The 22,301-nt window shown below is 37.3% G+C and overlaps 1 pseudogene, besides 1 other annotated feature; it reads left to right on the top strand.

Annotated features, from left to right (window-relative positions):
• Positions 19,743–19,912: an enhancer, noted in NCBI's record as "experimental_74716 CRE fragment used in MPRA reporter constructs". NCBI's record gives its function as "activates a minimal promoter by MPRAs in K562 erythroleukemia cells, with activity observed for the non-introgressed 4:138348304 variant allele {active_cell/tissue: K562}" and the evidence as "EXISTENCE:reporter gene assay evidence [ECO:0000049][PMID:34662402]".
• STMN1P2 (stathmin 1 pseudogene 2) lies at positions 21,048–21,724 on the top strand (annotated as a pseudogene).

The following is a 22,301-nucleotide window of genomic DNA, read 5'->3' as shown; positions in this document are numbered from 1 at the left end:
GGTCAGGAGTTCAAGACCAGCCTGGCCAACATGGTGAAACCCCACCTTTACTAAAAATACAAAAATCAGCCAGGCATGGTGGCATGTGCCTGTAGTCCCAGCTACTTGGAAGGCTGAGGCAGGACAATCTCTTGAACCTGGGAGGCGGAGGTTGCAGTGAGCCAAGATTGTACCACTGCACTCCAGCCTGGGTGACAAAGCGAGACTCTGCCAAAAAAAAAAAAGTCTTTCATAGACCTTGCTTACTAAACTGCCTTTCCATTACACAGTTATTTCTCAGGGTGCCCTTCTTAAACTTCCTATTTAATTAGATATATTCTGCTTGGGTTATCTTGCTAACTACAATGAGAGATTCAAAATGCCTATTGCTAACTCAGACTTTGTCTTCCAACCTCCAGACTAACATTCTAATTCATCGTGCATGTAAAAAAATGCCATGTCAAAAAACAAAAGTAATCGTATCCCTCATATTGCCCTAGGCTGTTGTGTTTCCTACATAATAAACATACAACCATGTGCTCAGTGCCAAGTCATAAATCTTAAAATATTTTTCACTTTGTCCTCCTATATTTATTAATTACAGGTAATTAATTATTCTATTAAGTAAACATTATACAGTTTTTTATGTGTTCTATGACATGCAGAGAACAATTGTTTTCTGCACCGAGGATACAGTGGTAACACTTCATGCATTCCTGGAGATTTTGCTCTAGGTGATAAGAGAGATATTAAACAATCAAAAAACAAACAAAATAAAAACCAAAACCATGAAAATCCGGCTATATTAAGAGCTTATAAAGAGAGGTATTTAATTCCAGGAACACATTTAATGGAATGTTTAGCTTAATCAGGGAAATCAGGAAAGACTTTTCAGAGGAAGGGAAACTTGAGGAGATTGAAGTATGAGCATTGAGTTAACTGGTTTATAAGGTAGAAAAGGGAGAGTTCCAGGTGGGGCATTGCAAGTGTAAAGCCTGTCAGGCCAGATAAAGCACAGTGAGAGCAGCTCAAAGGACTGACTTGCTGGAAGAAAATTAGACTGGGGAAGCATGATAACAGATGAGATGCAAAATGAAGCAGAACACACATGGCCTCATAGAACTTCTAATGGTTCTGTGAGAAATGGTGAACTATTTGAGTTTCTTTTTTATAATCTACATGTTTTAAAAAATTCTCATAGTTAATGGATCCTTATATTTAGTTAACAAATCCTATCTCCATTCCCTTTTTTTTTTTTTTTTTTAAATTGAGACAGTCTCACTCTGTCTCCCAGGCTGGAGTGCAGTAACTCAAATGCTCACTGCAACCTCTGCCTCCCAGGTTCAAGCGATTCTCATGTCTCAGCCTCCCAAGTAGCTGGGACTACAGGCACTTCCCACCATGCCCAGTTAATTTTTGTATTTTTAGCAGAGACAGGGTTTCTCCTTGTTGGACAGGCTGGCCTTGAACACCTGACCTCAGGTGATCTGCCCCACTTGGCCTCCTAAAGTTATGGGATTACAGGCGTGAGCCACTGCACCTTTCTCTTTGCTTAAAATGTTCCTCAATCATGTTGCAGTTGGGCTAGCTCCTATCCAGGACCACTGAGTTGCCAACTGCACTGAGGCTCCTTTCCTTATCTTCCAGTCTGACTTAAGTAGAAGTCTTAGCTTCCTTTTGGGTATACCTTTACACTAATGGCATTATACTACATTGTTTGCTTTTAAAAGTCTTAAGTAAACTCTTTGAGGGTGGCAACTATGTTTTCTTTGCATCCTTCTTTATTAGCATAGTGCTGAGGATGTATGTTATAAAACAGATGTCTGTTAAATAAATAAACAAATGCAAGGAACCAAATCAGAACTAACAGCAGATGAAGTAGGGCAAAGTTTTATTCTTCAATAATCTTGCAATGTACTGAGAGTGGATGATAAATGGCTACAGCAAAAGGAAAATCTTCTGAGGAAAGTATGCAGGTTTGCATATGGCTGGACGTATTGGCGAAAGATTCCAAGAGTAGGTATTATTTCAGATGGGCTTATAATTACCATTATCAATATTTCTACAGCACAAAGATGGATATCACAAGTTGAACTGGGAAGTTCAAGGCCATATATACCCAGGAAACAAAGTCCCTATCAATTTATATGGGCACAGGTAGGGCTTTTACTAGGCTCAGAATTATGTGTTAGTGTGTGAGTAAGCATGAGGCTTTGAGGGATTTGAGCATGACTTTCATGAATATTGATGTTTCAAAAAGATCCAACAGACAGCTTGATGTGAGGATTAACTTTAGAAGAGTCCGGAGATAACGAGACCAGTAGGAATTCTTATAACAATATCTTAGGCCAGAGGATGACAAATGTTTTCTGTGAGAGGCTAGATAGTAAACATTTTGGGCTTTGTGGGCATATGGTCTTTGTTACAACTACTCAACTGTATTGTTGAAGAGTAAAAGCACCATAGATGATATGCAAATGGACAAGCATGGCTGTGTACCAATAAAACATTATTTATAAGACAGGTGGCAGGCCTGATTTTACTTGGCCATAATTTGCTAGGTGAAAGTTAATAAAAGTCTAAACTGGACTGATAGCAGTGAAAATGGAAAAGAAGGGATATCTGTAAGAAAATCATAGAAGTGGAATATATAGCACTGATTTCTTATTATGTGAGTGGCAAAAAAAAAAAAAAAAATGAAAAAGCAGTTAAAAATCACACCAAGATTTGAGACCCAGTGACTGGGAGGCTGATGGTGCCACCAAGAGTAATAGGCATGTTAAGAAAGACGCTGTTTTGGGAGTGAAGATGATTATGTATGTAATAGAGAATCCAGTTAACAGAAAAAAGCTGTGTAGTACTAGAAGCAGTTCATTAAGCTATGAATAATATCGAAAACGCCAAAGCCTGTACCACATGGCGATGAGTTTTTACAAATTTTTTTCCAACTTTTCAATGTTTACATTGTAAATAATGAAGAGGTATATGAGTTTTTGTTAATATTTTAGCATGCTCAATATGGTTTTATTAGTATTCTATATAGAATGCATTGCTCTTTCACCCATCCATCTGTGATATAAAACAAACTGGGCTATTATAAAAAGCATTTATTTCAGAAAATAGTAACCTATTTCTTGCTATAAATAAGTCTACAATATATGGTGCTTGACAAATCGGATTGTATTCTGTTTTCTTTATTCAAACTTCAAGAGGATTTAATTTTGATTTTAAGCAGTCAAACTGAAATAAGATTAACTATAAACTATTTTTCTCCATTTATTTTTCTGGACAGGCAAACTTTACTGTGCATTTCAATTAGAAACATACTTGTCAGGTGGTAAGGAAAAAGGAATAGGTGAGTCAGCAATGGAATACGACAGGCTTCTTTACCAAGTCTGAAAAAAACAATGATTAGGACATGAATTATTCAAAGCCACACTGAAACTAGTCAGCAACATTGAAATAGTGTTCAATACACCTGAAACCTGTTTAGGGGAATTATTTTAACTTCTACTTCTTAAATATCTATAAAATTTCCTTGTTAAAACAAGAGCTAGAAAGAATTTCTTTAAAGTTCCACTTCATTAGGAGGGGCTTGTAAACATTGCTATTATTATTCTCTATTGCAAGGAAAGTTTTGACCATAGTTAAAAATTGTGCTCCTAGCTATAACATCAAATAACTAGGACTCAGCTGCTTATGCCTTTTTATAAGTTTCCTATCTCTCATTTTTTTTCATTACCATTCAATCTCATTATGTGTAACCTTTCCCAAAGATCTATTCAGACTTCAGAAACAATTCACAAATCCTATTTCAAGTAGATCGTTGATCTGAAATGTGTTTTTCCTATTGTGAGTCAAACTGAATGGCTTCTTCGGAAAGACCTTTTATATCTTAAATACCCTAAGGGAAATATTTTCTCTAAGGAATTTTAAAAGAAGAAGTATGAAACAGTTATTTGCTGTGCATTTGAAAAATATACTGCTGGCCATGTGCAGTGATATTTAAAACACATTTAAATTATGCCTACCTCTTCTCTGCCTTATTATATGGAATAAAATTAATCATTTATTAAAGTTGGAGTGATGGCAGATCATACCTTGTTCTATTAATCCATAAACAGATCTGAGTATATTTGATATATCATAGAACCTATACCAAAGACGTATTTGAAACTGAAGAAGACAATGGAAATTAAGGCCTTTGTGTGCTGAGGAAGAGGGAGCTCACGTAAATACTTTAAGTGTCTTCCCTGTTGTACTAAATTTTAATGACATCTTTGGGGTAATTGAACTTTAAGTGAAAAAGAAATCTGATCATACAATGTGGTATTTAATATTTTCTTCCAAACAATTAATTATATAAACCACTCAAAAGAGTTTAAGTATAAACAAATCATACAAAATATTTTTATAGCAATGATCATCAAATTGGGGTATAAGTACCCTTGGTGGGGAGGGTCAGGAAGACTTCTCACATGGTAAATGGGCACAGATAATTGTAAGGATAACAATTGTTAGATTTTGAATGTCATTATGTATCCTTTTGTATGGGTGAGGCGGTCATGCAGGGTCTCTTTTCTCGTGTCCCTTTCATAATTACCCTCTGACTTTCGCAGCAATAATTTTCATTTGATGACCTTTATTTGTTCATCATTCTGTCAAATAATGCACTGTTTCTAAGGAAGAAAGCAGCAAAGTATTAGTCATAAAACTCCCGACAAAGCCCTGTATCTATCCAAGCATCTATATATCATCTATCCAGCTATTATCTAACTATTTATGTATCTTAGAATTAGAATTCAGAATTGAAATTATCCTCGTGGGATGCAAATTGACATATATTTACTTGAATTGGAAATGAATTCAGGCTTTTTGATTTCATGTTTGTTTTCTGAGAGAGGGTCTCGTTCTGTCACCCAGGTTAGAGTGCAGTGGAGCAATCATGGCTCACTAAAACCTTGACCTCCAGGACTCAAGCAATCTTCCCACCTCAGATTCCTGAGAAGTTGGGACCACAGGTGTGCAGTCAGGCTTTTTCTGACAGGAAGAATGCTACTATGGTTTTCCTTGACAGCAGGTCTAGCTTTGTGTATTGGTTATATGTCAGACATTTTCTTTTTATAATGATTGAATGATCCAAAATATCAGCCCCAAGGCTATACAGCATATGATACTGAAGAAGAATTTTATCAAAATTTACATTAATGATATTTTAATTTTCTCAAACCTTTCTGAATGCATCTGAATAGTGCTTCTACATGAAAGAGAAACAGGCATGAATAATAGTTATTTGATATATCTGAGTAAAGCCTCATTTGGAATAGTTAACAGAAGTTGAGAAAATAATAGATTCTAAGGAAATATATTTCAAGCCAGGTGATTTCCAATCACTGCAGTCACTGAAAATGAATTAAAAGCTAATGATATGCCAGCTAATATTTTTCATAAAGTGATATTATTTAATTGGTGTTCTTAACCAGCATTTAGTAGCAATCATCCTATATGATCTTACACCAATGTATATTTTGGAGAGGATGAGGGCTTTGAAAAAACATATTAAGGGAAAATCTGATAAATTATTTAATTCAATTACTGTAGTCATCCTAGATAATTCAACTGTAATATAAAACAATATTTTATTAATAGATTTCACTTAGCAGTTTTAGGTTCACAGCAAAATTGAGAGGAAGACACAGAGATTTCTCACATTTCTCTTACCCCCACGCTTTACACAATCATAGCCTCCCCATTATCAACATCTGCCATTAGAGTGGTACATTTGTTACAATTGGTGAATCTACATTGGCATATCATTATCATCCGGAGTCCGTATTTCACACTAGGTCTCACTTTTGGTGTTGTATATTCTGTGGGTTAGGACAAATGTAAAATGATAGGTATCCAGCATAATAGCATTATGCAGACTAGTTTTACTGTCCTAAAAATTCTTCATGTTTGACCTATTTATTACACCCCCACCCCTCCAACCCCTAGAAATCACTGATCTTTTTAATGACTCTAAAATTTTGCCCTTTTCAAAATGTCATATAGTTGGAAGCAGACACTATGTAGTCTTTTCAGATTGAGTCTGGTCACTTAGAAATATCCATTTAAGATTCCTCCATGTCTTGTCATGGCTTAATAATCCATTTCTTTTTAGTGCTGCATGATATTCTATTGTCTAGATGTACCCAGTTTATCTATTCACCTAAAGGACATCTTGGTTGCTTCCAAGCTTTGGCAAATTATAACTAAAGCTGCTACAAACATGCGTGCAGGTTTGTGTGTGTCATTATCTTTGGATAAATTTCAAGGGGATTGATTGCTGGATCAATGGTAAGAATATGTTCAATTTTGTAAGAACTCACCCAACAGTCTTCCAAAGTAGTTTGCCATTTTTGCCTTCCCATCAGCAATGAATGGAAGTTCCTGTTGCTCCACATCCTCACCAGCATTTGGTGTTGTCAGTGTTCTGGATTTTGATCATTTTAATAAGTATAGAGTGGTGCAAAATTTTTTTCTTTCTTCTTCTTTTTTTTTACATCATTTTGCTACCATCATTTAGCAACATTCTTGAAAATTTTGTTTATTTTCCCTGTGTTGGCAAACCACAAAGATGATAATTTGTTCATTTTGATCAAATAACCATGAAGATGTTTAAAGGAGAAAGTTAATATTCTACAGTGTTTAGTAGATGATAAATTTATCTGAAATCTTATAATAGAAATTGTATTAGAGGGAATCTGATAGAATTTTAACAATACTGGTTTTTTTTTGTACTCAGCATAGCAGTCTCTTGATTTGTTTAGACAAATCAAGTAATATTAGTTAGTAAAAGTTATTGGTTAAACAGTGTTTCCCAAGGTGTAAGATGATGTTTGCTGGTAGAGAGGCTTAGCACTAAGTATCATTGAATCACACAACTATTTCTTTTTTGATTTTCCTTTAGTCCTCGTTAATGCATTATGGAGAAAATATCAGTTTGTTGCTAGTATATTTTAACATTTTCCTAACACTTTTCATTATCTCTCAGCAGGAAATAGAATTTAACTGAAGCTTAATACCATTGAAATATTTTTATTGTTGTAATGAATTATAGCTGTGAAGTCTTTGTTCTTGAAAGCCAGACTATCATGGTTTAATTCTTGGCTCAACTAGCTTGGAGACCTCAGGTAAGCAAGATATGTATCTTAACCTCTTTGTGCTCCAATTTTTCCTAATTAGCACTACTTTTGAGGATTGTTAGATCATAATGATACAATATTTACTCACTAAGAATTTCAAACATATTTTCTGTCACCTATTGTGGCTTAAAAGTGTTAATTATCACATTTATTCTCTTGTTACTTTGCATTTATTTCAAGTGATACTGATTTTCCATTCATGGAAGTAAAAAGTAATTGATTCAAAGAAATATTTGCTAATAATTGGATATAGATATTGGGATACTATAAAAATTACAAATGTAATTTCTAAATGAATAATTTGTAGAGTGGTAACTGTTGACATTTGGCCCTTAGGGTTTTATTTAAAGTACATATCCTACTTTCAGCTAGAAAGATTTATCTTGTGGCAATATAATGTTGCAGCCCCTCTACTGAAGAAAACAGAACATATGGTTAAAGTACCAGACAAATTCAGTATGAAAGATTCTGGAAGCTGCTGAGATAGCCAGGACTAGGAGGCCAAGATTCGAGAGAGAAGGGAACCACAAAGAAAGAGTTATCATTCTGGAAGCCATTTTTCTTCTTAGGGCATTTGTCAATGCTTACCTCCGTGTAAGAAGAAAAAAAAATGCAAAGGGCTGCAGACAAGGAGCAGAGAAGCTAGCCAAACAGTAAGTACCAAGTTTCTGGAGACAAAAATTTGAGTTCAGGGCTGCCAGGGCAGCCAGGATTTGAGGTGCAAGGTCCTGGAAAGAAGACTGGCAAGAAAAGTGAGCTGTATGCTGTTGTTGTTACTTTTATTGTTAGCATTTGCTGAAATTTGAAGCTGGCAAGAAAGAGCTAAGAAGCCCAAGCAGAAAGCCACTGTTCTAAGGTTTTCTACACACTCATAGATCAAGTGTTCCATCAGCCCTCAGTTAGTGATACTGGCTGAGGGTCCGTACTCTGCAGAATAGAAAACCTGTACCCAGTGAGGATGGATTACTGGTCTTTCCAAGACAGAAGGGGTCTAATGTAGTCAAATTGGCACCAAGCAGTAAGTTGATTTCCTTGAGAAATGATGCCATGTGAGGGCTCTACATTAGTCTCTGTCAGTTAGAATATTCAGAGGTGCCATGACTAAATCAGCCTTGGTACATAAGAGAACATGTGGTTGGGTTATGTGTACCCTCTGCCACATGTCTACTCCATTCAAGCGCCCACTGGGTCAGTTCCATGGTTGGACATTGGCAAAATTTGGTTAATATCTACTGGATAAGGAATTTTTCTTCTTTGCTTTTTCAGTACCTTTTCCATGAGGGTTGCATTCTGGTAGATGTTAATGTGTGATTCAAATATCTTTTCACTTTTGTGCTAACTCTCATATATCTACTGACTCTTGTGTCTGTGTCAGGCTTTCTCATATCTGATCTTAGAGGATTTTTTACTTCCAGGACCCTGACCAGCTGATGAGATCATTGGCACTGTACGTGAATCTGGATATAGTCTCATTTAAGGCTACTTCTGCCTCCACAAAAAATGTGATGGGAGCCTCATTTACAGATTTGCTTCTCAGAATTTTTCCTTCTCTTCAGTCTTTCAACTCCCTCCCTGAATATAGTTGCAATGTAATCACCATCCATTTTTGCTTGTCTCCACACATCAAGATGACCCATCAATAAACCAAGAAGGGCTTTTGTATTAGTCCATTTTCACACTGCTATAAAGATACTACCCCAGACTGGGTAGTTTATAAAGGAAAGAGGTTTAATTGACTCAAAGTTCTGTATGGCTGGGAGGCCTTGAGAAACTTACAATCGTGGCAGAAGGTGAAGGGGAAGCAAGGCACCTCTTACATGATGGCAGGTGAGAGAGAAGAGCAAGCAAGCAAAGGGGAAGTGTCACACTTTTAAACCATCAGATCTTGTGAGAACTCACTCACTGTCATGAGAATAGCATGGGGGAAACCTCCCTATGGTCCAATCACTTCCCACCAGGTCCCTCCTTTGACATGTGGGAATTATAACTTGAGAGGAGATTTGGGTGGGGTCACAGAGCCAAACCATATCAGCTTTTTCCTCCTCCTTCAGGTTGTCGGATAGGTACAGATATAGTCAGGGCAGGTAGCACGGGGATTCTGACTACCTGTTTATCTACCTACTCATGCCCTCTCATCCTACTTGGAGCTATAACTTGTGTCCCATTTTCACCTTATAATGAACTACTACTGGCCTCGTCGAATTTATAACTGGGAGAGTCATAGGTCATGATGGGCATTTATGAATCATGTTCAATTGTTGCCCAAGTGTGTCCTCTTTCTATCAGGGTTCAATACCATTCTAGGAGGTGTTTCTTGAAAAGCATATAATTTTCTAGTGCAGATGACATGGCCTTGCACCCAAGTCTCAAGAGACTACATTGTGATTCTCTCATGTGTATTGCTATAAATACTACACTTGTATGTTGTCACCACTGAAATCTCTAACTCCAGAGTTTGCCATGCTGTGATACAAGCTGAGGGCTGCTTGTACCGTAGCCAGCAGCTGCTGCAGATCCTTTCCTGTTTTGAACCCCATTCAAGCCCAATAGCCTTCTGAGTCTCCTGGTATATGGGCCAAAAAAGTATTTCCAGTTGTTTCTATATGTGTTGCCTTTGGAAACTTAAGAGACTCTCCAGGCATTGTGCTTCTGTCTTTGTGACAGGGGATGCAAAATGAAGCAACTTAATTTTTACTGTCCATACTGTGGATACCTATGTTTATGTTATCACTTAAACATTTTCCCTCTGTTCGGTATTAATACGACTTAAGGAACAGTCAAGTTCACTGTCCCTATAGTATTTCCCCAATTCCCCTCCTCCCATTATACAAACGACTACATTATTACACCAGCAAGGTGTTTGCCTCCAATAGACATTTCTCTAAGTTACTACCAGTGAAATATTTAGCAATTGGGTCACCACTTTTGCACAAAACTACTTGTGTCTCACAGCTTACTCAGGATTGCATTCTTCTTGCCAGCCAGGATGCAAGTGAACCAGTTCTAAACTCTATCTTTTTTACTTATTTTCTTGAACACTCTCAAAACCAACTTTGCTCGTGTCATCTTAGAAGATCTCAAGATATGATTAGACATAAATAAGAATTATTGTGGTAAATGCCTGTGAAGGTTAAGGAGAGAGGACTCATGAATGATGAAAAAAGACTTTAAAACATAAAGCAGACATGTCCCCTATGAAATAAGAGAAGGGAAAAAGGAGGATGAACTCGAAAGAGTTTGTGTTGTAGAACTGCTTTGACAAAGTTGATGGGGAGATCTTAGGAATGGTCTGTCATTAAAAGAGTATCATATTGGGCTGAAATGTTCCATCTGTAGTACCCCCTGATACACGCAGTCATTGTCTTGCAGCAGCCTCTAGGAAATGAAGCCTCAGATTGAGCCCCATGGAGAATTTGAAGGTGTGCTGGTAGGGGGTTGTGAGTCTTCCTGAAATCGTAGGCCTTCTTGAAGGGAGATCTGTGTGATACACACCCATGGACAGACAATGGAATTTTAAAAATTCCTACAAAACCCAATGACTTAAGTATATATTATGTTCTTTTTATAAGCTATAAAGAGGGAATTAGTTCAAAAAGACAAGCAAAAAGGAAGTGTGGCATTAAAAATCGGCTGGAAAATTTGACAGGAGAGAAGCAAATAAAAAGGAGAGAAACAAAAAGATAAACTTACAGAATTTTAAACAGGAAGAAATAATAGACATAGTCTAAAATATTTAATATTTGAAAGAGAAACCTGAAAAATGGAAAAATTAAGATCGCACTGCTGGTATTTACCTATTTATTTATTATACCATTCATATCCAAAAGGAAATGATATGAAATACAGACATTATTTTACGGAGTTTGAAATAGATGATATAAAACACTCTAGGTTTGTAGTTCTAAGTAGTCATTTCAAACCCTTGTTTGTATGTCTTTTTTATGCTCTATGTATCAAGAATTATGTAAGAAAAACAAACATTTGGACAGTTCTTAATAGCAGAAGAATACAACTAGCTTTGAAAATTAATGACATGTTAAGAACATATTGAATAGAAATAACAATGAATTGTTAAAGTAAAAAAAAAGGTTGAGGCTACTTTATATAAAATTTTTTGGAAACAAGTCTCCTATCTGTATAAAAGTATTAAGTCTAAAGAAATTTTTCCACAATAAACTAGAAAATGGCACAACCATTGACTGTGCCTGACAGGGTAATGGAAAGGAGAATTCAAAACACGACATGATATCCTCTTTCAGAAATGACAGCATATCTTCCATTGACCTATCCTCCCATGAACAATAATTGTAAACACTGGAAAAAAATTAACAAACAACCCTTTGAATGCACTGTGGAGCAATGAAGGACAGACAGAAACTGTAGTGGGCTCCTTATTGCAAACTCCTGGCATATGTTATATCCTCAATTGTAATTTTAGAGGATTTCCTATTTTATCTGAATTGGTAGCAGTAATAATGGCAGTGAGATCTCTGATAATGATGACCAGATAGATGCTAATTATGATGAAATCTCTATGACAGATTTTATCTCTGAGAGAGAGTTTGTTGAAGCCCAGTCTATGAATATCATCTTAGTTCACCGTAGCTGAGAGAGCAAAACCTGTAGCACTCACTATAAATTTCTGAAGCTTGAAGTGCTTTTTAATGAGATCTTTTCCCATCTTCCATCACAGATAATGACACTTTCCTCTCAGTTCAGAAGCGTGATGAGATGGAATTCCAACAGCAATAGTAACTGCAGTGGTGACATAAAGAGTTAAAGACATGAAATGCTATTGGAAGGCAGCATCTTGGAGGGCTGGACAGCCCTGAACTCTGTAATCCTGATGGAGGACCAGCAAACATGATCCATAAACTGGCCAGCTCTGTGGACAATGGAATCGCATCCTGGCTTCTTAAAATATTTAGGGAAAAGCTTATTGTAATGTACTAGGCTTCCCAAGACTCTGCGGTGGAACATTTAGAACATTACAATTTGGAGATAAAGGTTAACATGGCCTGCTTACTCACAAGCTTGGAAGGCCTATAATATAAGTCTCAATTACAGTATATTATTTGCTGAGGCTCTTAAAATTTCTGATTAATTTTGTGTAAACTCTAAGTAGAATTCCCATATGCCAAAATCATGAATATTAACATTCACATACAGCCTCTAAATTGAGTTATATTGGTCAACAATAGAGGAAAAATATTTTAAAAGCAATGTTATTATCTTTCGTGATGGATAGTTCTTAAGAATGTTGTGGAAGTATTTTTGAAAATCTAATGGCAAATTTAATCTGGAGATAAGAGATTAGCTAATGATATCATTGGAGTGAAACTTGAAAGTCTCATTTCTGAATGTCAGAACAAGGATGGCATAAGGAAAGCCTAAAGGCAAGACCTGGAGAACACTGGTAGGTATAGCAAGGTTACTAGGGTGGTGGTCATGGTCAGGAATATATTCAAATGCCAGTTGATAAAGAAGTATTAAATCCCACTTTGGGAGGCCTAGGCAGGTGGATCACTTGAGGCCAAAAGTTTAAGATGTGCCAAAACCCCGTCTTTACTAAAAACAACAAAAATTAGCCAGGCATGGTGGCACATGCCTGTAATCCCAGCTACTTGGGAGGCTGAGGCACAATAATTGCTTGACCCTTAGAGGTAGGGGTTGCAGTGAGCCAAGACTGCACCACTGAACTCCAGCCTGGGTGACAGCGAGACTCTGTCTCAAAAAAAAAAAAAAATCCAGACAGTGTGAATCACAAGGACAAAGTCTACAGATCAGAGGCTGATTCTAAAATGAAGCGCAACTTCCTAAATGATAATTTAATAAAAAATAAATTAAAAACCTTCAGAGCTGAAAGTAAATGAAGACATGAAGAGAAAACACTAAAATACACCAAAAAGGTCATGCAAAAAAAAAATTAAAAGTATTATCAACATTTGAGAGAATTGAAGATATGAATACAAAGGGACCCAGGTAAAATTCCAAAGGTGAAATAGAATTTCAAGTCTCTTGGAAACCACATACAGCAGCTACGGGAAGATTTTTCTATGTTTGTTTCATACAGTTTCCATAACTTGGGGAAAATGCAACTTTCTGTTTCTTGATGATGTGATGTGTGACTTCTGGGAGTATGATGCTATTAATTGCATAAATGCTTGATTATGCCAGTTTTATTAGCTGTGATTCTTTGAATTCTAAAAACCAAATACAGACATTAAAATAAAATCATAAACATAAAGATAGATTCAAGATCAAAACTCTGCCATATCTAAAATTATATGCCTCTTGTTTTCTTCCTTCTCAATGCAATCTTCTGTTATTTAATAGCATAGATCTAGTTTCCATACCTGATAATTATTTTAAGAAATATTAATTATATTTCTAGTAACTAGTATATTTAAAATTTAAAATATTAATGTAGAGAAAATAGAAATGATGAATAAAAATTGAATACAACTATGGGACAATAAGAATGACTTAAACATTACCAAAAGTATCATTGCAATTAACATAATTTTTTAAACATAAAAATTAACTGATCATATGAGCAGGATATTATCTTAAAACACTGTTCCACATTCATTTTTGGTAGATGATGGAAAAATCTGAAGATTATGTTTTCGTGAGAGTAATGTTTCAGTTCATTTGAAAGTACTTTCATTTTTTTAATGGAGAAACCAGATTGTTAGGAAAGAAAAAAGGAGACTAGCACACTCATTCAAAGAGATGGTACATTTCCAGCCACAGTTGTTCACTGATACTTTATTGTTTTGTTGAGGCATTTGTCCCCTCTTCTACCCCATTCCCATTCTCAGAATGCCATTCCATTCCTTAGTCAGCAAGAAAACTGCAATATACTTAAATTTAAACCCAAATGGTTTTTATTGTTTGTTTGTGTGTCCAAAGCAAACATGTTTTCCTAAGTTATCTAGCAATTCATTTGTTTTTCTTTAAATTTCTGGATACTATCAAACTTTGAATGCATACAAATCTATGTTTTTACTATAGAATTAAAAAAAAATCCATCTAGTGTCAGGTAATGGCTGAAGTTTTAACCAAGAGTTGTAAAATTTTTAAAAATAAAACTCTGCCTGCCAGACAGTTTCACATTTGGGAACTCGGCTTTGCTTCACATATCCTGGCATGTAAAATAGTTTCCACATTCTCAGAAACCTAATGGTAATTCCACATTGCTCTTTCCCTCTGGGGGTTCACAGAATTTGTATCAGATTGCAACCTCTCTAGAAGCTCATGTTCATTTAAAAATCTTTCCCCACCTTGAGCTTTATTTGTATTTCTCATTCCATACTATTTTTCATGAGTTCAGTAGTTTTCAGGGAAAAGAATTTCTTATACTATTACTTAACCATAACAATCAATGATACGAAATTCTGCAGGTGAAGTTGGTGGCTGAGGATTTACAAAGACATCTCAAAATGAAGGAACTAATGTAGAACATTAGATCTCAGTTGAAAAACTCTCCATCCCACATCATAATCTAATATTAGTCTTGTTTTTATAAGAACATTTCTATGTATGAAAATACATAAATGAGAGGAAAAGAACTCCGACACTCAAATTATTTATAGACTAAAGGCTGAATTATTTTTCTAAATGTGAAGTAAGGATATTGCATTAGGCCATTCTTGTGTTACTATAAAGAAGTATCTGAGACCAGGTAATTTATAAGAAAAGTGGTTTAATTGGCTCACAGTTCTGCAGGCTGTACAGGAAGCACGGTGCCAACATCTCATTCTGGGGAGGCCTCAGGGAGCTTTTACTCATGGGAGAAGGCAAAGCAGGAGCAGACACCTCACACAGCAAAAACAGGAGCAAGAGAGAGAGAGAGAGTGGGGAGGAGATGCCACACACTTTTAAACGACCAGATCTCATGTGAATTCAGAGTGAGAGCTTGCTTATCACAAAGGGGATGTCTCAAGCTATTTATGAGGGATTCATCCCATAATCTAAACACCTCTCACCAGGCCCTACCTCCAACAATGGGGATTACATTTTAACATGATATTGGGGTGGGGACAAATATCCAAACTATACAATTACATTCCTGGTCCCACCAGATTTCATGTTCTTCTCACATTGAAAAATACAATCATGTCTTCCCAATAATCCTCCAAAATCTTAACTTATTCCAATATTAACTCAAAAGTGTAAAGTTCAAGGTCTTATCAGAGACAAGGCAAGTCCCTCACTCACACCTATGAGCCTGTAAAATAAATAAATAAATAAATAAAAGTTAGTTACTTCTAATATACGATGGGGGTATATACATTGGGTAAACATTCCCATTCCAAAAGGGAGAAATCATCCAAAAGAAAGGAACTACAGGCCCCATGCAAGTTTGAAACCCAGTAGGGCAGTCATTAAATCTTAAAGTTCCAAAGCAATCTATTTTAACTACATGTTCCACATCCAGGACACACTGGTGTGAGGGGTAGAGTCCCAATGCCTTGGACAGCTCTGCTCCCTGTGTCTTTACAGGGTAAAGCTCCTATATCTGCTCTGAGATTGTTGAATGCCTACAGGTTTTCCAGGCCTAGGGTTCAAGTTGCTAGTGATCTACCATTCTTGGGTCTGTAGGATGGTGGCCCCCTTCTCACAGCTCCACTAGGCAGTTCCCCAGTGGGCATTCTGTGTGGGGCCTCCAACCCCTTACTTTCCCTCCACAATGACCTAGAAGAGGTTCTCTGTGAGGGCCACTCCTGTCACAGGCTTCTGCCTGGGTACCCAGGCTTTCTCATAGATCCTCTGAAATCTAGATGGAGGTTGCCAAGCCTTCACTCTTGCATTCTATTTGCCTGTAGGCTTAACACAATTTGGAAGCTGCCAAAGCTTATGGCTTGTGCTTTCTGGAGTGGCAGCCTGTGCTGCACCTGGGGCCCTTTGAGCCATGGCTGGAGCTGGAATGGCGGGGTTGCAGGGAGCAGTGTCTCAAGACTGCAGGGCAGTGAGGCCATGGGCCTGGCTTACAAAACCATTCTGTCCTCCTAGGTCTCAGAGCCTGTGATAGGAAGGATTGCCTCTTAGATCTCTAAAGTGCCTTTGAGGTATTTTCCCCAGTGTCTTAAATGTTAGCACTTGGTTCCCTTTTAGTTATAGAAATAACTCTAGCAAGTGCTTGTTCCACAGCCTGCTTGTATTCATCTCCTGAAAAAGCTTTTTCTTTTTCTGTCATATAACCAGGATGCAGATTTTCCCAACTTTTATGCTCTACTTCCTGTTTAAATATAAATTCCAGCTTTGTTATTTCTTTGCTCCTGCAACTGAGCATAGGTTGTTAGAAGCAGCCAGACCCCATCTTGAATACTTTGCTAGTTAGATAGTTCCTCTACCAGATACATTAGACTGTCACTCTTCAGTTTAAACTCCCACAGATGCCTAGGGCATGGGCAGAATACAGCCAAGCTCTTTGATAAGGAATGACGTGTGAGCTTTGCTCCAGCTCCTTATAAGTTCTGCATACTCATATGAGAACTTGGCAGCCTCGACTTCACTATTCGTATCACTATCAGCATTTTGGTCACAACCATTCAACCAGTCTCTACGAAATTTCAAACTTTCTCTCATCTTCCTGTCTTCCTCTGAGCCCTCCAAATTCTTCCAACCTCTGCCTGTTACCCAGTTTCAAAGTTGTTTCCACATTTTCAGGTATATTTATAACAATACCCAGCACCTAGTACCAACTTTCTTTATTAGGCATTCTCGTGTTGCTATAAGGAAATATCTGAGACTGGGTAATTTATAAGAAAAGACATTTAAGTGGCTCGTGATTCTACAGGCTGTACAGGAAGCATAGTGCTGGCATCTGCCTCTGGGGAGGCCTCAGGAAGATTTTACTAACAACAAAAGGCAAAGCAGGAGCAGACACTTCACATGACAAAAACAGGAGCAAGCACGAGTTGGTGAGGAGGAGCCACACACTTTAAAATGGCCAGATCTCATGTGAACTCAGACCAAAAGCTCACTTATCACCAAGGGTATGGCTCAAGCCATTCATGAAGGATCTGCCCCCATGATCCAGATACCCCCCACCAGGCCTCACCTCCAGCATCGGGGATTACATTTCAACATGAGATATGGATGGAGATAAATATCCAAACTATATCAGATTTTAAGATTTAAAAAGAATGGCCATGTGCAATGGCTCACACCTGTAATCCCAGTGTTTTGGGGGGCTGAGGCAGGAGGATCACTTGAGCCCAAGAGTTTGAGACCAGCCGGGGCAACATAGTGAGATCCTGTCTCTGCTAAAAACTAAAACACTGCTCTGGCCTGGTTGTGAGTGCATGTGTTCCTGTCTACATGGGAGGCTAAGGTGGAAGGATTGCTCGGACCCAGGAGTTCAAAGTTACTGTGACTTGTGATCTTTCTGTTGCATTCCAGTCTGGGTGACAGAGTGGGACCCTGTCTCTGAAAATAATAATAGTAACAATAATTGTTATCATTTAAATTTGGCTGAAATATGTGAGGATGAGTAATTTGGTCTAAATTATCTGCCTATATTGCTAAGTCACTGGAAAACTGCAGTGCAAAACTTCTGATTTTTCTGTACAATCTAATCATAGCCAGTAATTATATCTAATCAAATTTTATGTATAGCAACCACAATTAGGTTAAGTGGAAATATATTTTTAATACATGCTTTTTGATGATGATAATGGTTAAGTGGTGAAAAAGTAACTGAAATAAACTTATTTATATTTTAACAAGTACAGCTTTGTCTAGGTAAAATTGATGAGCATAATTAGAGTATTTCTCAGTAAAGTCTATTATAGATTCCAAAATGTATTTTCACATAGGATAAATAAATTGAATCCTTTTATTTTCTTCTGGAAATTTACTATATGTAAAAAAGAAGGCAGGAAGGGAATTAAAGGAAAAAGTCCATTCTTCTGATGGCCTTTAAGTATCAAAGTAAACAGAAAATAACCTATTCCAACTACTGTTCCCATTGCTAAAATTGTCTTTTATAAATTTAAGAAAAAATATTAGTAGCAAACATATGATGCAAAGGATCACAGAAACTGGACAAAAACTTTTTTTTCTCTAAGCTTAACTCTTGCAGACAATTTATATGACAGTAGACTGCATTGGCTTATTTATGCAGTCTTTTATTTATTTGTTTATAGATACCTTGTCACTCTACTCCTCTATCAGGAAAGGTTGTTGCCAAAGTGCATAGTATTTTTATAGCATGTCTGAAAGTATCAAAATCAGCACTAATAAACCCAGTATACAATTTTTCAGTTTAGTTAAGTAGTATTGCCTGAACCACTGCAATACGAATCAAAATAAGGAGCATTTTCACTTATTTTTTCAGGTACATTGCTGACAAGATTTGTGGATAATGACTGAAAAGAAAATAACGTTTTCTTTTCATGTTTTGTTGTTGCTAATGTTGATGTTTTACATGTAGTTATGGGTTTCAATAGACTTCTCCCTGAACCACAAAGGTGGATTTTAAAATGATATGTACATTAGTATGAGACGTAGTAGAAATACAGTTTAATTTCTCATATTAAGAGGTAAAATGTATCGAGGATGGCTAGCCAAAAATGCAGTTGTAGAAATCAGTCCAAAGTTTTCAAATGGAGAGTCTCAGTTTAACCAGGGATATCTGGGGACTGAATTTAGAGTGTTTCCCTTTTCTATCTACTACTTAGATATTCCCTTTGCTGAGAAACATTAGCCAATCAGAAAAATAAGCTGGGTTCTTCTCTTTTCTTTTTCTTTTTTTAGATAGGATTTCACTCCCATCACCCAGGCTGGAGTGCAGTGGCAGTATCTCAGCTCACTCACTACAACCTCTGCCTCCCAGACTCAAGGGATTCTCCCACCCCAGCCTCCAGAGCAGCTAGGAATACAGGCACATGCTACTGCTACTGGCTAATTTTTGTATTTTTAGTGAGATGGGGTTTCACCATGTTGGCCAGGCTGGTCTCAAACACCTGGCCTCAAGTGATTCTCCTGCCCTGGGCTCCCAAACTTCTGGGATTATAGGCATGAGCCACCGCACCCGGCCCAAGCTGGGTTATTTTCTATATGTAGTAAAGTCTCTCTGCCCAGTTTAAAGGAAGACTAAAGAGTATGTCTTTTGATGAATAATAAGTTCTCCCCTGAGTAACTGAACATAATGAAAGCCAAATTCTTGTTTTCTCAGTAGGAAAAAATTAGAGAAAGATTTTCTTTGCCAAATGTAGTAGTCATGACAGGCTGTTATACACACTAACGCTTTCTGAAACCCCACTGTCTGTATTATGGTAAAAGTATAAACTTTTATGTCTCAGGTGTACTCCACTAAAGCTATTAGAATCAGAAAACATGTATTAGAATGGCACATTCACATCTGATTGATGAAGCAAATGTTCCTTAGTATACAGATTGCTCCCACCACTCCATTGCATACAATTTCCTTGTGATTTAGAGATCAGTCTACTTTTGGTTTGCTGATTTTTATGAGATTTGATTTTATGATATTTGATACCTACATAGAAGTGGTTACTGTCATATTCCACAACTGGCTCAAAGGAGAATTCTTTATAAAGATTTATACACATTGTAAACCACTCATCCTCATATTGAAACACCTTTAAAAATTAATCTTCTTTCTACCACCCGCCATATATCCCATGATAGCACCTGTGGATTTTCTATAAGGCGATGACAGAATCAAATCTAAAAATGCAATATTCTCTAAACTTTAAATTTATTATATTGATGGGAATCTGTTCATGTAAGGATTAATCTTTGGTCTTAATTCTACAGAATAAAGAGAAGAGCATATATAGAGAGGTCTCCATATTATATCCTTACTATAAAATAAAGAAGCAAATAATTGGTTGTCCAATTTTTAGTGAAGTCTTTCTACATTATTAACAATGGTTTCCCATACAGAATAGGGTTTATATATAAATTAATATATTGTAAAAGAACGATATAATTCTTCCCCAGAATCAGACTAAAGACATAGAACGGCCTTTTTTCTACAGATCAGAATGATGGGTAGAATATTCCTGGAAGAACCATGATTGTCTTGAGCTCAACCTGACACCTACTGAACACTGTCAAATATGACTTGGTATGTTCCATATGAATGTATAATATGAACTACATGATTGTATACCCTGCATCTTATGTCTTTATATCTTTATCTACAAATTCTAGGGTATTTTCTTTTTCTTTTTTTTTCTTTTTCTTTTTGAGACAGAGTCTCACTCTATCGCCCAGGCTGGAGTGCAGTGGCGCGATCTCGGCTCATGCAAGCTCCGACTCCCGGGTTCATGCCATTCTCCCGCCTCAGCCTCCCGAGCAGTTGGGACTACAGGCGCCCACGACGGCGCCCGGCTAATTTTTTTGTATTTTTAGTAGAGACGGGGTTTCACCGTGGTCTCACGGTGGTCTTGATCTGCTGACCTCGTGATCCGCCCGCCTCGGCCTCCCAAAGTGCTGGGATTATAGGCGTGAGCCACCGCGCCTGGCCATTGTAGGGTATTTTCTTATATTTTCATTTGTTTGTTGAGTACACTTATCTAAGAGATACTACTATTTGATTTCAGAAACACCTCAGGATTTGAACATCATTTAAATTCTGAAAAGAGAAAACAAGAAAAATTCCCTTTCTTTCTGTCCTTCATTTAAAGGGACATTTACCATTTAAAAGAGAGAATTAGATCCCCGTGATCACCCTTGTGGGTGACAGATGACGGGCCACGCTCTTTGTGGGGTGTGGGGTGCGGACAGCTTGGGTTGCACAGGCTTGGGTCAGGGATGACAGGAGGAAGAGGTTCTCAGCTACTCAGCCTGTTACCAGGACCTGTCCCACCAGCAGAGGTACGATAAGGATGGTGGGCTCATGGCCTTTCATTACCCCAGTGGATTCTATAGAACACATTGCCTGTCTCTTGTCATCTATTTACCCGGCTTCTTTTGATATCCAGGTGAAAGAACTGGAGAAGGGTGCTTCAGGCCAGGCTTTTGAACTAATTCTCAGCCCTCAGTCAAAGGAATCAATTCTATAATTCCCTTTCCCCTCTCCACAGAAGAAGGAAAATTTCCTTAGAGGAAACTCAGAAGATATGAGAAGCTGCAAAAGAAAGGCACAAGTCCTACTAAGCTGAGATCTTGAAGCAGCTTGCAAAGGATGGAGAAATAAGTGGTTTAGAAAGCAATAGAAGAGAATACTAACTTCAGCAAAATGGCAAAAAGAACCTCACCCACAAAATGAAAGCTAATGAAGAGAATAGAGAGGCACAAATGGCTGTCAAACTGGAGTGTTTGCCAGAGAAGGATAAGCACACTGAACAGGTGCAGAAGAACAAAGAATCCAGAGGTCCTGTTGATGAGACTGAAGCTGACTAATTTGTTCTGAGAACTGACTTTCACCTCTCTTTCCTAAATATCCAAAAACTACTGGCCAGTGTCATTTATTCTTTCCCTTCTGACAATACTCTAGAAGCTAATGGGCAGCTGTATAGATAAACCCATAGAGTAATATGTTGGTTTAGGGGATAAAGGGGAGAAACTGAAAGTGTGGTTCTTTCTAATGTAGATATTTTTCTTGTTGCCTCTTTTTTATTTCGGTACACTTGGTGTGCTGGGCTAATGGCAAGTACTGTTTTTCTCTGTGAAAACATATTGTGAAGAGTATGTAGTGGCTTCTTTAGAACTTTTAATTGCTGAATAATATATGTTCACTTTTCAATCCCAATTGTGTCCCAATCTTACCAGATGCTTAAATAGTTAAGTACAAGATATTTAAATGGTTAATAAAACTACACAGTACTATTGGTGGTAGTGACTTCAAAAAAATAAAAAGATAGGCCATAGGCCTGGTGTGGTGGCTCACACCTGTAATCCCAGGACTTTGGAAAGCTGAGGCGGGAGGATCACTTGAGGTCAAGTTCAAGACCAGCCTAGCCAACATGGTGAAATCCTGTCCCTACTAAAAATACAAAAATTAGCCTGGTGTGCTGGCAGATGCCTGTAGTCCCAGCTACTCGGAAGGCTAAGGCAGGAAAATTGCTTGAAGCTTGGAGACAGAGGTTACAGTGAGATGAGATCATACCATTGTACTCCAACCTAGGTGATACAGCAATACTTCGTCTCAAA

Source organism: Homo sapiens, chromosome 4 (genome assembly GCF_000001405.40).
Source record: "Homo sapiens chromosome 4, GRCh38.p14 Primary Assembly".
Classification (NCBI taxonomy): Eukaryota; Metazoa; Chordata; class Mammalia; order Primates; family Hominidae; genus Homo; species Homo sapiens.
Note: the sequence above shows the minus strand (reverse complement) of the source record. Positions and strands in the feature narration are given on the sequence as shown.